This window comes from Homo sapiens, chromosome 1, assembly GCF_000001405.40.
Source record: "Homo sapiens chromosome 1, GRCh38.p14 Primary Assembly".
NCBI classification, from domain to species: domain Eukaryota; kingdom Metazoa; phylum Chordata; class Mammalia; order Primates; family Hominidae; genus Homo; species Homo sapiens.
In genome coordinates, this window is record NC_000001.11 from 91,283,764 (window position 1) to 91,300,367 (window position 16,604).

The 16,604-nt window shown below is 41.9% G+C and overlaps 1 protein-coding gene across 15 annotated transcripts in view, besides 1 other annotated feature; it reads right to left on the reverse strand.

Moving 5' to 3' along the window:
• The window catches only part of HFM1 (helicase for meiosis 1), a 147,242-nt gene that overhangs the window by 22,998 nt on the left and 107,640 nt on the right, over positions 1–16,604 (reverse strand). The gene's annotated exons all lie outside the window — the stretch shown is intronic.
• Positions 5,871–6,085: a silencer, noted in NCBI's record as "fragment chr1:91755191-91755405 (GRCh37/hg19 assembly coordinates)". NCBI's record gives its function as "represses an EF-1alpha promoter that drives an FKBP-Casp9 reporter gene in an ReSE screen in phorbol 12-myristate 13-acetate-treated (for megakaryocytic differentiation) K562 erythroleukemia cells {active_cell/tissue: K562(+PMA)}" and the evidence as "EXISTENCE:reporter gene assay evidence [ECO:0000049][PMID:32094911]".

The window sequence follows — 16,604 nt, forward strand, 5'->3', positions numbered from 1 at the left end:
TCATTAACAGGTGGCGGGGCAAGGGTCACTTCTTTAAAAAAAGAAGTCCAGACAATAAATAAAAAATAGCAAGAATCTCTGTCACACTTAGCATAACTTTCTAATTATAAATTCAAATAATTTGGTCTGTGCAGAAGCTACTGGAGTATTTTTTTAGTATTACTTTCACTTTTGCAGTTCTCCATTTATGCTAATCATAGATTTATGCAATTCATGGTTTTACTTTTTTTAATGATGAGAGAGTCTCCTTTTCATTTTTCTGTCAAATATTTTACTATCATTTTGTTATTTATTTATGCAGAAAAGGAATACACTGAACTGGAGTCCTTGATTTTGCAACTTAATGCACATACACACCAAAGAATATAAAGAAAAGTAGACTGCCTTTTAACTAGTATTTAAATGTACACACAATGTGCCTGAGGACTGGCTTTATCCTTGTATTCATTCAACTACATTAATTATTATTATTATTATATTATTATTATTTTTTTTTTGAGATAGAGTTTTGCCTTTGTTGCCCAGGCTGGAGTGCAGTGGTGCAATCTCAACTCACTGCAACCTCCGCCCAAGGCTCAAGTGATTCACCTGCCTCAGCCTCCCGAGTAGCTCGTATTACATGGGATTACAGGTGCCTGCCACCATGCCCAGCTAATTTTTGTATTTTTAGTAGAGATGGGGTTTCACCACATTGGCCAGGCTAGTCTGGAATTCCTGACCTCAGGTGATCTGCCTGCCTTCGGCCTCCCAAATTGTTGAGATTACAGGTGTGAGCCACTGTACCTAGCTCCAAGACATTCATATTCAGAATAATACTGCAAATGAAGATAAATGTATTAATGTCAAATAGATTTTCTTCAAATTAAGCAAAGCCTGTAATTCTTATTTAGAATGCATTTAAAGGATAAGAAGTTTAAATGCCTAATCTTCATATACTGAGAGCAGGCCTGAAAATTTTTTAATTTTTGTTTTTACAACTTAAAAATATGTCTCACATTGCCATATATTAAAAATAACAAAAATGTTCTTCCTCAAATTATACAAGAATTTTATCTCTTGGAACTATAACCATATGTGAGAAACTGCAGCTAAAAGAATGTTTTCAAAAAGTTTGATATGGTTTGGCTGTGTCCTCACCCAAATCTCATCTTGATTTGCAGCTCCCATAATTTCCACATGTTGTGGGAGAGACCTGGGGGAGATAATTGAATCATGGGGGCAGTTTCCCCCATACTGTTCTTGTGGTAGTGAATAAGTCTCACAAGATTTGATGATTTTATAAGGGGTCTCTCCTTTCGGCTGGCTCTCATTCTCTCTTGTCTGCCACCATGTAAGACGTGCCTTTCACTTTCTGCCATGATTGTGAGGCCTCCCCAGCCACGTGGAACTGTGAGCCCATCGAACCTCATTTTCTTTATAAATTACCCAGTCTCAGTTATGTCTTTATCAGCAGCATGAAAACGGACTAATATAAGTTGTAGAAAGCATGAAAAGAATTTTTCATTATTTTATATTCCCTAAGGTGCATGTTTTTGTTTTTATATATAGTCCTATAATTTGATGATATACAAAATTGAAACATTTGTTCAACTTGAAAGCATATTTGGAAATAGCCATTTAGCAATTATATTCTCTGAACTAAATATCAGTTTGTATCATTTAATAACACCATTTGACAAGGGATTAGAACAACTGAAATTTGGATTGTTTTGAAAAGGCCCAAATTTGGTGTCACAGCCTTAGTAGGGTAATCTATTGCCCCTTAATTGTGTCAGTTACTAAGAAAGAGTGTATGTATGTTAGGTTTAGAGGTATAATTGTGTATCTTTATCCAGGGATATATAAATTTGCATATAAAAATTGAATTGTACAATACGGATGTGCATAAGTTCCTAAGATTTGGATGATTACATACAGTAGCCCCCTTCATCCATGATTTTGCTTTCCACAGTTTCAGTTACCCAAGGTCAACTCTGGTCCGAAAATATTACATGAAAATTTTCAGAAATAAATATTTCATAAGTTTTAAATTGTACATCATTCTGAGTAGCATGATAGAATCTCAGGCTGTCCCACTTCACTCTGTCCTGGATGTGAATCATTCCTTTGCCCAGCATATCCAGGCTGTATATGCTACCCACCCCTTAGTCACTTGGTAGGTGTCTCAATGATCAAATCGACGGTCATGGTATCACAGTACTTGTGTTCAAGTAACCCTTGTTTTACTTAGTAATGGCCCCAAAGCACAAGAGTAGCAATGCTGGCAATTTGGATGTGCCAAAGAGAAGCTGTAGTTTCCTTTAAGTGAAAAGGTGAAAGTTCTTGACTTAATAAGGAAATTATATATATAGAGTTCAGTACTACCCACAACAGAGAAATATCAGCACCCCTAGAAACTATCTTTCTGTCCTATTCTAGTCAACTTTGTCAAGAGTAATCTTTATCTTGACTTTTAACAGCACAGATTAGTATATTAGTTTTCTAGGGTGGCTATAACAAAGTACCACACACTGGATGGCTTAAAACAACAGAAATTTATTCTTTCACAGTTCTGAAGATTAAAAGTCTGAAATAAGTTGCTGGCAGAGCCATACTCCCTCTGAATTCTCTAGGAGAGGATCCTTCCTCAACTCTTCCAGTTTCTGATAGCTCTAGACATTTCTTGGCTTGTGGGAGCATAACTATAATCTCTGCCTCTGTCTTTGCATGGCTGTCTTTCCTCTGTATTGGTATTCTTATGGAGTTTTCTTGGTGTCTGTGTCTTTTTGCCTTTTCATATAAGGACACCAGTCATATTGGATTAGGATGCAGTCATATTGGATTAGGGTCCACCTTAACTTGATTATATCTGTAAACTCTATTCCAGATAAGATCACATTCACGACCGAGGAGCCAAGATGGCCGAATAGGAACATCTCCAGTCTACAGCTCCCAGTGTGAGCGACGCAGAAGACGGGTGATTTCTGCATTTCCATCTGAGGTACCGGGTTCATCTCACTAGGGAGTGCCAGACAGTGGGCACAGGTCAGTGGGTGCAGTGCACCGTGCGCCAGCCGAAGCAAGGCGAGGCGTTGCCTCACTCGGGAAGCGCAAGGGGTCAGGGAGTTCCCTTTCCTAGTCAAAGAAAGGGGTGACAGACGGCACCTGGAAAATTGGGTCACTCCCACCCGAATACTGCGCTTTTCCGACGGGCTTAAAAAACGGCGCACCACGAGATTATATCCCGCACCTGGCTCAGAGGGTCCTACGCCCACGGAGTCTCGCTGATTGCTAGCACAGCAGTCTGAGATCAAACTGCAAGGCGGCAGCGAGGCTGGGGGAGGGGTGCCCGCCACTGCCCAGGATTGCTTAGGTAAACAAAGCAGCCGGGAAGCTCGAACTGGGTGGAGCCCACCACAGCTCATGGAGGCCTGCCTGCCTCTGTAGGCTCCACCTCTGGGGGCAGCGCACAGGCAAACAAAAAGACAGCAGTAACCTCTGCAGACTTAAATGTCCCTGTCTGACAGCTTTGAAGAGAGCAGTGGTTCTCCCAGCATGCAGCTGGAGATCTGAGAAGGGGCAGACTGCCTCCTCAAGTGAGTCCCTGACCCCTGACCCCCAAGCAGCCTAACTGGGAGGCACCCCCTAGCAGGGGCAGACTGACACCTCACACGTCCGGGTACTCCAACAGACCTGCAGCTGAGGGTCCTGTCTGTTAGAAGGAAAACTAACTAACAAACAGAAAGGACATCCACACCAAAAACCCATCTGTACATCACCATCAGCAAAGACCAAAAGTAGATAAAACCACAAAGATAGGGAAAAAACAGAGCAGAAAAACTGGAAACTAAAAAGCAGAGCACCTCTCCTCCTCTAAAGGAACGCAGTTCCTCACCAGCAACAGAACAAAGCTGGACGGAGAATGACTTTGACGAGCTGAGAGAAGAAGTCTTCAGACGATCAAATTACTCCGAGCTACGGGAGGACATTCAAACCAAAGGCAAAGAAGTTGAAAACTTTGAAAAAAATTTAGAAGAATGTATAACTAGAATAACCAATACAGAGAAGTGCTTAAAGGAGCTGATGGAGCTGAAAACCAAGGCTCGAGAACTACGTGAAGAATGCAGAAGCCTCAGGAGCCGATGCGATGAATTGGAAGAAAGGGTATCAGCGATGGAAGATGAAATGAATGAAATGAAGCGAGAAGGGAAGTTTAGAGAAAAAAGAATAAAAAGAAACGAGCAAAGCCTCCAAGAAATATGGGACTATGTGAAAAGACCAAATCTACGTCTGATTGGTGTACCTTAAAGTGACGGGGAGAATGGAACCAAGTTGGAAAACACTCTGCAGGATATTATCCAGGAGAAGTTCCCCAATCTAGCAAGGCAGGCCAACATTCAGATTCAGGAAATACAGAGAACGCCACAGAGATACTCCTCAAGAAGAGCAACACCAAGACACATAATTGTCAGATTCACCAAAGTTGAAATGAAGGAAAAAATGTTAAGGGCAGCCAGAGAGAAAGGTCGGGTTACCCTCAAAGGGAAGCCCATCAGACTAACAGCAGATCTCCCGGCAGAAACTCTACAAGCCAGAAGAGAGTGGGGGCCAATATTCAACATTCTTTTTTTTTTTTTTTTTTTTTTTTTAGTATTTATTGATCATTCTTGGGTGTTTCTCGGGGAGGGGGATTTGGCAGGGTCATAGGACAATAGTGGAGGGAAGGTCAGCAGATAAACATGTGAACAAAGGTCTCTGGTTTTCCTAGGCAGAGGGCCCTGCTGCCTTCCCTAGTGTTTGTGTCCCTGGGTACTTGAGATTAGGGAGTGGTGATGACTCTTAAGGAGTATGCTGCCTTCAAGCATCTGTTTAACAAAGCACATCTTGCACCGCCCTTAATCCATTTAACCCTCAGTGGACACAGCACACGTTTGAGAGCACAGGGTTGGGGGTAAGGTTATAGATTAACAGCATCCCAAGGCAGATGAATTTTTCTTAGTACAGAATAAAATGGAGTCTCCTATGTCTACTTCTTTCTACACAGACACAGTAACAATCTGATCTCTCTTTCTTTTCCCCACATTTCCCCCTTTTCTATTCAACAAAACCGCCATCGTCATCATGGCCCTTTCTCAATGAGCTGTTGGGTACACCTCCCAGACGGGGTGGCGGCCGGGCAGAGGGGCTCCTCACTTCCCAGACGGGCCGGCCGGGCAGAGGCGCCCCCCACCTCCCGGACGGGGCGGCTGGTCAGGTGGGGGCTACCCCCCACCTCCCGGATGGGGCAGCTGGCCGGGCGGGGGCTGCCCCCCACCTCCCGGATGGGGCGGCTGCCGGGCGGAGACACTCCTCACTTCCCAGATGGGGCGGCTGCCAGGCGGAGGGGCTCCTCATTTCTCAGATGGGGCAGCCAGTCAGAGACGCTCCTCACCTCCCAGACGGGGTGGTGGCGGGGCAGAGACACTCCTCAGTTCCAAGACGGGGTCGCGGCCGGACAGAGGCGCTCTTCACATCTCAGACGGGGCGGCGGGGCAGAGGCGCTCCCCACATCCCAGACGATGGGCGGCCGGGCAGAGATGCTCCTCACTTCCTAGACGGGATGACGGCCAGGAAGAGACGCTCCTCACTTCCCAGACTGGGCGGCCGGGCAGAAGGGCTCCTCACATCCCAGACGATGGGCGGCCAGGCAGAGATGCTCCTCACTTCCTAGACAGAGTGGCACCTGGGCAGAGGCTGCAATCTCGGCACTTTGGGAAGCCAAGGCAGGCGGCTGGGAGGTGGAGGTTGTAGCGAGCCAAGAACACGCCACTGCACTCCAGCCTGGGCAACATTGAGCACTGAGTGAGCGAGACTCCGTCTGCAATCCTGGCACCTTGGGAGGCTGAGGCTGGCAGAACACTCGCAGTCAGGAGCTAGAGACCAGCCCGGCCAACACAGCGAAACCCCGTCTCTACCAAAAAATACAAAAACCAGTCAGGCGTGGCGGCGCGCGCCTGCATCCCAGGCACTCGGCAGGCTGAGGCAGGAGAATCAGGCAGGGAGGTTGCAGTGAGCCGAGATGGCGGCAGCACAGTCCAGCCTCAGCTCAGCATCAGAGGGAGACCGTGCAAAGAGGGAGAGGGAGACGAGAGGGAGAGGGAGAGGGAGAGGGTCAACATTCTTAAAGAAAATAATTTTCAGCCCAGAATTTCATATCCAGCCAAACTAAGCTTCATAAGTGAAGGAGAAATAAAATCCTTTACAGACAAGCAAATGCTGAGAGATTTTGTCACCACCAGGCCTGCCCTAAAAGAGCTCCTGAAGGAAGTGCTAAACATGGAAAGGAACAATCGGTACCAGCCGCTGCAAAATCATGCCAAAATGTAAAGACCATCGAGACTAGGAAGAAAACTGCATCAACTAACAAGCAAAATAACCAGCTAACATCATAATGACAGGATCAAATTCAAACACAACAATATTAACTTTAAATGTACATGGACTAAATGCTCCAATTAAAAGACACAGACTGGCAAATTGGATAAAGAGTCAAGACCCATCAGTGTGCTGTATTCAGGAAACCCATCTCACAGGCAGAGACACACATAGGCTTAAAATAAAAGGATGGAGGAAGATCTACCAAGCAAATGGAAAACAAAAAAAGGCAGGGGTTGCAATCCTAGTCTCTGATAAAACAGACTTTAAACCAACAAAGATCAAAAGAGACAAAGAAGGCCATTAATCAATGGTAAAGGGACCAATTCAACAAGAAGAGCTAACTATCCTAAATATATATGCACCCAACACAGGAGCACCCAGATTCATAAAGCAAGTCCTGAGTGACCTACAAAGAGACTTAGACTCCCACACATTAATAATAGGAGACTTTAACACCCCACTGTCAACATTACACAGATCAACGAGACAGAAAGTCAACAAGGATACCCAGGAATTGAACTCAGCTCTGCACCAACCGGACCTAATAGACATCTACAGAACTCTCCACCCCAAATCAACAGAATATACATTTTTTTCAGCACCACACCACACCTATTCCAAAATTGACCACATACTTGGAAGTAAAGCTCTCCTCAGCAAATGTAAAAGAACAGAAATTATAACAAACTATCTCTCAGACCACAGTGCAATCAAACTAGAACTCAGGATTAAGAATCTCATTCAGAACCGCTCAACTACATGGAAATTGAACAACCTGCTCCTAAATGACTACTGGGTACATAACGAAATGAAGGCAGAAATAAAGATGTTCTTTGAAACCAACGAGAACGAAGACACAACATACCAGAATCTCTGGGACACATTCAAAGCAGTGTGTAGAGGGAAATTTATAGCACTAAATGCCCACAATAGAAAGCAGAAAAGATCCAAAATTGACACCCTAACATCACAATTAAAAGAACTAGAAAAGCAAGAGCAAACACATTCAAAAGCTAGCAGAAGTCAAGAAATAACTAAAATCAGAGCAGAACTGAAGGAAATAGAGACACAAAACACCCTTCAAAAAATTAATGAATTCAGGAGCTGGTTTTTTGAAAGGATCAACAAAATTGATAGACCGCTAGCAAGACTAATAAAGAAGAAAAGAGAGAAGAATCAAATAGACACAATAAAAAATGATAAAGGGGATATCACCACCGATCCCACAGAAATACAAACTACCATCAGATAATACTACAAACACCTCTACGCAAATAAACTAGAAAATCTGGAAGAAATGGATACATTCCTCGACACATACACTCTCCCAAGACTAAACCAGGAAGAAGTTGAATCTCTGAATAGACCAATAACAGGAGCTGAAATTGTGGCAATAATCAATAGCTTACCAACGAAAAAGAGTCCAGGACCAGATGGATTCATAGCCGAATTCTACCAGAGGTACAAGTAGGAACTGGTACCATTCCTTCTGAAACTATTCCAATCAATAGAAAAAGAGGGAATCCTCCCTAACTCATTTTATGAGGCCAGCATCATCCTGATACCAAAGACGGGCAGAGACACAACCAAAAAAGAGAATTTTAGACCAATATCCTTGATGAACATTGATGCAAAAATCCTCAATAAAATACTGGCAAACCGAATCCAGCAGCACATCAAAAAGCTTACCCACCATGATCAAGTGGGCTTCATCCCTGGGATGCAAGGCTGGTTCAATATACGCAAATCAATAAATGTAATCCAGCATATAAACAGAACCAAGACAAAAACCACATGATTATCTCAATAGATGCAGAAAAGGTCTTTGACAAAATTCAACAACACTTCATGCTAAAAACTCTCAATAAATTAGGTATTGATGGGACGTATCTCAAAATAATAACAGCTATCTATGACAAACCCACAGCCAAAATCATACTGAATGGACAAAAACTGGAAGCATTCCCTTTGAAAACTGGCACAAGACAGGGATGCCCTCTCTCACCACTCCTATTCAACATAGTGTTGGAAGTTCTGGCCAGGGCAATTAGGCAGGAGAAGGAAATAAAGAGTATTCGATTAGGAAAAGAGGAAGTCAAATTGTCCCTGTTTGCAGATGACATGATTGTATATCTAGAAAACCCCATTGTCTCAGCCCAAAATCTCCTTAAGTTGTTAAGCAACTTCAGCAACGTCTCAGGATACAAAATCAATGTGCAAAAATCACAAGCATTCTTATACACCAATAACAGACAAACAGAGAGCCAAATCATGAGTGAACTCCCATTCACAATTGCTTCAAAGAGAATAAAATACCTAGGAATCCAACTTACAAGGGATGTGAAGGACCTCTTCAAGGAGAACTACAAACCACTGCTCAAGAAAATAAAAGAGCATACAAACAAATGGAAGAACATTCCATGCTCACGGGTAGGAAGAATCAATATCATGAAAATGGCCATACTGCCCAAGGTAATTTACAGATTCAATGCCATCCCCATCAAGCTACCAATGACTTTCTTCACAGAAATGGAAAAAACTACTTTAAAGTTCATATGGAACAAAAAAAGAGCTCGTATCACCAAGTCAATCCTAAGCCAAAAGAAGAAAGCTGGAGGCATCACACTACCTGACTTCAAACTATACTACAAGGCTACAGTAACCAAAACAGCATGGTACTGGTACCAAAACAGAGATATAGATCAATGGAACAGAATAGAGCCCTCAGAAATAACGCCACATATCTACAACTATCTGATCTTTGACAAACCCGACAAAAACAGGAAATGGGGAAAGGATTCCCTATTTAATAAATGGTGCTGGGAAAACTGGCTAGCCATATGTAGAAAGCTGAAACTGGATCCCTTCCTTACACCTTATACAAAAATTAATTCAAGATGGATTAAAGACTTGAACGTTAGACCTAAAACCATAAAAACCCTAGAAGAAAACCTAGGCATTACCATTCAGGACGTAGGCATGGGCAAGGGCTTCATGTCTAAAACACCAAAAGCAATGGCAACAAAAGCCAAAATTGACAAATGGGATCTAATTAAACTAAAGAGCTTCTGCACAGCAAGAAAACTACCATCAGAGTGAACAGGCAACCTACAGAATGGGAGAAAATTTTCGCAACCTACTCATCTGACAAAGGGCTAATATCCAGAATCTACAAAGAACTCAAACAAATTTATAAGAAAAAAACAACCCCATCAAAAAGTGGGCAAAGGACATGAACAGACACTTCTCAAAAGAAGACATTTATGCAGCCAAAAAACACATGAAAAAAGGCTCACCATCACTGGCCATCAGAGAAATGCAAATCAAAACCACAATGAGATACCATCTCACACCAGTTAGAATGGCAATCATTAAAAAGTCAGGAAACAACAGGTGCTGGAGAGGATGTGGAGAAATAGGAACACTTTTACGCTGTTGGTGGGACTGTAAACTAGTTCAACCATTGTGGAAGTCAGTGTGGCGATTCCTCAGGGATCTAGAACTAGAAATACCATTTGACCCAGCCATCCCCTTACTAGGTATATACCCAAAGGACTATAAATCATGCTGCTATAAAGACACATGCACACGTATGTTTATTGCGGCATTATTCACAATAGCAAAGACTTGGAACCAACCCAAATGTCCAACAATGATAGACTGGATTAAGAAAATGTGGCACATATACACCATGGAATACTATGCAGCCATAAAAAATGATGAGTTCATGTCCTTTGTAGGGACATGGATGAAACTGGAAATCATCATTCTCAGCAAACTATCGCAAGAACAAAAAACCAAACACCGCATATTCTCACTCATAGGTGGGAAATGAACAATGAGAACACATGGACACAGGAAGGGGAACATCACACTCTGGGGACTGTGGTGGGGTGGGGGGAGGGGGAAGGGATAGCATTGGGAGATATACCTAATGCTAGATGACGAGTTAGTGGGTGCAGTGCACCAGCATGGCACATGTATACATATGTAACTAACCTGCACATTTTGCACATGTACCCTAAAACTTAAAGTATAATAATAATAAATAAAATAAAAAATAATCAAAATAAAATAATGCCAAAGAAGGAAAAAAAAAAGATCACATTCACAGGTACCAGGGATTAGACCATCAATGTATGTTTTTGTGAAACACAATTCAAACCATGAGAGTTAGTAGTGCTTATTTTTGCAATTTATATACATGGACTCATACAGTATTACCTTTTTGTGTCTGGCTTCTTTTGCTTAACTTTATGTTAGTGATATTCATTCATATTGTTGTGTGTAGTCATAGGTAATTCAATCTCCTTGCTCTATAGCAGGGGTTGGAAACTATAGTTCATGGGCCAACCATCTATTTTTGTAAATAAAGTTTTATTGGAATACACCCATGTCTATTCATTTACATATTGTCTATGGCTGCTTTTGGGTTGCAAACACCTACAAAGACAGAGTTGCATAGATATAAAGAAGATCTATAGTCTGCAAACCAAAAACATTTACTATCTGGCCTTTTAGGAAAGTTTTCTGACCCCTGTAGAATTGTATTGGGTCAATATACCACAATTTATTTGTCCATCTAACTGCTGATGAGCTTTTGGCTGGTTTCCATTTTAGGGCTAATATGATAGTACTGCTATGAACATTCCAAAATACATCTTTTGGTGAACATATATGCACACTTTTATCTGGTATATACCTAGAAGCAGAATTGCTCTATCACATAATATGCAAGGGGAATTACTCTATCATAGAATGCATATGCTAAACTTTAATAAATACTGCTAGTTTTCGGAAGTAGTTGTATCAATCTATAATCACATTAGTGATTAAGAGTAGTAGTTGTTATATATCCTTATCAATACTTGGTATTTTCTTTTTCACTTAAGTCCTTTTGATGGTTGCACAATGATACAGCAATATCTCATTGTAGATTTTCATTCTCACTTTGTCTAATGAACTTAAATACTCTTTCATAGGTTCCTGACTTTTTGGATATCCTCTATTTTGAAGTGTCTGTTTAATTGAGTACCCATTTTTAAAATGTTTACTTATACATATAGGAGTTCTTTATATATTATGTAAAATCGTTCTTTCCAGTGTATTAATTTGTTAAGGCTGCCATAACAAAGTGGCAGATTGAGTGGCTTAAACAACTGAAATTTATTGTTTCACAATTCTAGAGGCTACAAGTCCAAGATCAAGGTGTTGGTAGGGTTGGTATCTCCTGAGGTTCCTCTCCTTGGCTTGTGAATGGCTCTCTCTCATTGTGTCTTCACATGATCTTCCCTCCATGTGTGCCTGTATCCTAATTTCCTCTTCTTATAAGAACACCAGGCATATTGGATTGGGGTTCACACTAAGGAACCCTATTTTAATTCAATTATCTTTTACAGACCCTATCTCCAAATATAGTCGCATTCTGAGGAATTCAGCATATTTATTTGGGGGTAAACACAATTCAGCCCATAACAGCCAGGTATATGTATTCCATTTTTTTCCTCACATTCTGTGAGTTGCACCCTTCACTCTTAATGGTATCTTTTTGATGAACAGAGTTCTTAATTTTAACATAGTCAAATTCATTATGTTTTTATGGTTAGAAAGTTTTGTGCCCTGTTTTTTTAAAAAAGTCAACCTATCCCAAGGTCTCGAAGACCTATTTTTTCTCCTCTAAAAGTTTTATTGTTTTTCTTTCACATTTAAATCAGTCATCTATTTGCAAATAAGTTTTGTGTACAGTGTGAGGTCAGAGTTGACATACAATTTTTTCTTTCTTTTTTTTTGAGACGGAGTCTCACTCTGTCACCCAGGCTGGAGTGCAGTGGCAATCTCGGCTCACTGCAAGCTCTGCCTCCCAGGTTCATGCCATTCACCTCCCGAGTAGCTGGGACTACAGGCACCTGCTACCATGCCCGGCTAATTTTTTGTATTTTTTAGTAGAGATGGGGTTTCACCATGTTAGCCAGGATGGACTCAATCTCCTGACCTCATGATCCGCCCACCTTGGCCTCCCAAAATGCTGGGATTGCAGGCGTGAGCCACCGCGCCCAGACTGACATACAATTTTTTCCATATGGACATCCAGTTGATCTAGCAGCATTTATTGAAAGACTGTCCGTTTTCCAACTGCATGGCACTTCACCTTTGTCAGAAATCAATGACTGTATTATTTGTAGGTGTATTTCTGGACTCTAGTCCATTCCACTGGTTAATGTGTCTATCCTTATGCCTACATCACATTCTTATTATCTACTGTTTAATAACAGGTCTTGATATCTAGTAAAGTAGGTTGCCCAATATGTTTTTCTTCAAGTTTGCCCTGACTACCCTGTCCTTTTGAATTTTCATATGAATTTTATAATTAGCTGGTTATTTCAGAAAAAAAAATGACAACAACAACAAAACCCTGCTGAAATTGGGATGACACTGAATATAAAGATTAATTTGGGGAGAACTGACATCTTTATAATATTAAACTTTTCAGTTCTTGAAACGGTATCTTAATTAAGTATGTTTTCCCTAATTTCCCTTAAACAATGATTTTTAGTTTTCATGTAGTGGTCTTGAGCATCTTTTGTTATTCTATTACAAGGTTGATATTTTATACTACTGTAAATGCTGTTTTAGAATTATAATTTTGAGGGGAGGAGCCAAGATGGCCAAATAGGAACAGCCCCAGTCTACAGCTCCCAGCGTGAGCGATGCAGAAGACAGGTGATTTCTGCATTTCTAACTGAGGTACCGGGTTCATCTCACTGGGGAATGTCAGACAGTGGGTGCAGGACAGTGGGTGCAGTGCACCAAGTGTGAGCCAAAGCAGGGCGAGGCATCGCCTCACCCGGGAAGCACAAGGGGTCAGGGAATTCCCTTTCCTAGTCAAAGAAAGGGGTGACAGACGGCACCTGGAAAATCGGGTCACTCCCACCCTAATACTGCACTTTTCTAATGGTCTTAGCAAACGGCACACCAGGAGATTATATCACGCGCCTGGCTCGGAGGGTCCTACAGCCACAGAGCCTCGCTCATTGCTAGCACAGCAGTCTGAGATCAAACTGCAAGGTGGCAGCGAGTCCGGGGGAGGGGCACCCGCCATTGCCGACGCTTGAGTAGGTAAACAAAGCAGCCGGGAAGCTTGAACTGGGTGGAGCCCACCACAGCTCAAGGAGGCCTGCCTGCCTCTGCAGACTCCACCTCTACGGGCAGGGCATAGCCAAACAAAAGGCAGCAGAAACATCTGCAGACTTAAATGTCCCTGTCTGACAGCTTTGAAGAGAGTAGTGGTTCTCCCAGCATGCAGCTGGAGATCTGAGAACAGGCAGACTGCCTCCTCAAGTGGGTCCCTTACCCCCAAGTAGGCTAACTGGGAGGCGTCCCCCAGTAGGGGCAGACTGACAACTCACACAGCCGGGTACCCCTCTGAGACAAAACTTCCAGAGGAACGATCAGGCAGCAACATTTGCTGTTCACCAATATCTGCTGTTCTGCAGCCTCCGCTGCTGATACCCAGGAAAACAGGGTCTGGAGTGGACCTCCAGCAAACTCCAACAGACCTGCAGCTGAGGGTCCTGACTGTTAGAAGGAAAACTAACAAACAGAAAGGACATCCACACCAAAACCCCATCTGTTCGTCACCATCATCAAAGACCAAAGGTAGATAAGACCACAAAGATGGGGAAAAAACAGAGCAGAAAAACTGGAAACTCTAAAATTCAGAGCGCCTCTCCTCCTCCAAAGGAACGCAGCTCCTCACCAGCAACGGAACAAAGCTGGACGGAGAATGACTTTGATGAGTTGAGAGAAGGCTTCAGATGATCCAACTACTCCAAGCTAAAGGAGGAAGTTTGAACCCATGGCAAAGAAGTTAAAAACCTTGAAAAAAAATTAGATGAACAGCTAACTAGAATAACCAATGCAGAGAAGTCCTTAAAGGACCTGATGGAGCTGAAAACCACAGCACAAGAAGTACCTGACGAATGCACAAGCCTCAGTAGCTGATCCGATGAACTGGAAGAAAGGGTATCAGGGATGGAAGATCAAATTCATGAAATGAAGCGAGAAGAGAAGTTTAGAGAAAAAAGAATAAAAAGAAACAAACAAAGCCTCCAAGAAATATGGGACTATGTGAAAAGACCAAGTCTACATCTGATTGGTGTACCTGAAAGTCACAGGGAGAATGGAACCAAGTTGGAAAACGCTCTGCAGGATATTATCCAGGAGAACTTCCCCAATCTAGCAAGGCAGGCCACATTCAAATTCAGGAAATACAAAGAATGCCACAAAGATACTCCTCAAGAAGAGCAACTCCAAGACACAAAGTTGTCAAATTCACCAAAGTTGAAATGAAGGAAAAAATGTTAAGAGCAGCCAGAGAGAAAGGTTGGGTTACCCACAAAGGGAAATCCATCAGACTAACAGCTGATCTCTTGGCAGAAACTCTACAAACCAGAAGAGAGTGGGGGCAAATATTCAACATTCTTAAAGAAAAGAATTTTCAACCCAGAATTTCATATCCAGCCAAACTAAGCTTCATAAGTGAAGGAGAAGTAAAATCCTTTACAGACAAGCAAATGCTGAGAGATTTTTGTCACCACCAGGCCTGCCCTAAAAGAGCTCCTGAAGGAAGCAATAAACATGGAAAGGAACAACTGGTACCAGCCACTGCAAAAACATGCCAAATTGTAAAGACCATCGAGGCTAGGAAGAAACTGCATCCACTAATGAGCAAAATAACCAGCTAACATCATAATGACAGGATCAAATTCACACATAACAATATTAACCTTAACTGTAAATGGGCTAAATGCTCCAATTAAAAGACACAGACTGGCAAACTGGAGAAAGAGTTAAGACCCATCAGTGTGCTGTATTCAGGAAACCCATCTCACGTGCAGAGACACATATAGGCTCAAAATAAAGGGATGGAGGAAGATCTACCAAGCAAATGGAAAACAAAAAAAGGCAGGGGTTGCAATCCTAGTCTCTGATAAAACAGACTTTAAACCAACAAAGATCAAAAGACACAAAGGCCATTATAATGGTAAAGGGATCAATTCAACAAGAAGAGCTAACTATCCTAAATATATATGCACCCAATACAGGAGCACCCAGATTCATAAAGCAAGTCCTTAGAGACCTACAAAGAGACTTAGACTCCCACACAATAATAATGGGAGACTTTCACACCCCACTGTCAACATTAGACAGATCAACAAGACAGAACGTTAAAAAGGATATCCAGGAACTGAACTCAGCTCTGCACCAACCGGACCTAATAGACATCTACAGAACTCTCCACCCCAAATCAACAGAATATACATTCTTGTCAGCACCACACCACACCTATTCCAAAATTGACCACATAGTTGGAAGTAAAGCTCTCCTCAGCAAATGTAAAAGAACAGAAATTATAACAAACTGTCTCTCAGACCACAGTGCAATCAAACTAGAACTCAGGATTAAGAAATTCACTCAAAACCGCTCAACTACATGGAAACTGAACATCCTGCTCCTGAATGACTACTGGGTACATAACGAAATGAAGGCAGAAATAAAGATGTTCTTTGAAACCAATGAGAACAAAGACACAACATACCAGAATCTCTGGGACACATTCAAAGCAGTGTGTAGAGGGAAATTTATAGCACTAAATGCCCACAAGAAAAAGCAGGAAAGATCTAAAATTGACACCCTAACATCAGAATTAAAAGAACTAGAGAAGTAAGAGCAAACACATTCAAAAGCTAGCAGAAGTCAAGAAATAACTAAGATCAGAGCAGAACTGAAGGAAATAGAGACACAAAAAACCCTTCAAAAAAATCAATGAATCCAGGAGCTGGTTTTTTGAAAGATAACAAAATTGATAGACCGCTAGCAAGACTAATAAAGAAGAAAAGAGAGAAGAATCAAATAGACACAATAAAAAATGATAAAGGGGATATCACCACCGATCCCACAGAAATACAAACTACCATCAGAGAATACTATAAACACCTCTATGCAAATAAACTAGAAAATCTAGAAGAAATGGATAAATTTCTGGACACATACACCCTCCCAAGACTAAACCAGGAAGAAGCTGAATCTCTGAATAGACCAATAACAGGCTCAGAAATTGAGGCAATAATTAATAGCTTACCAACCAAAAAAAGTCCAGGACCAGATGGATTCACAACTGAATTCTAGCAGAGGTACAAGGAGGAGCT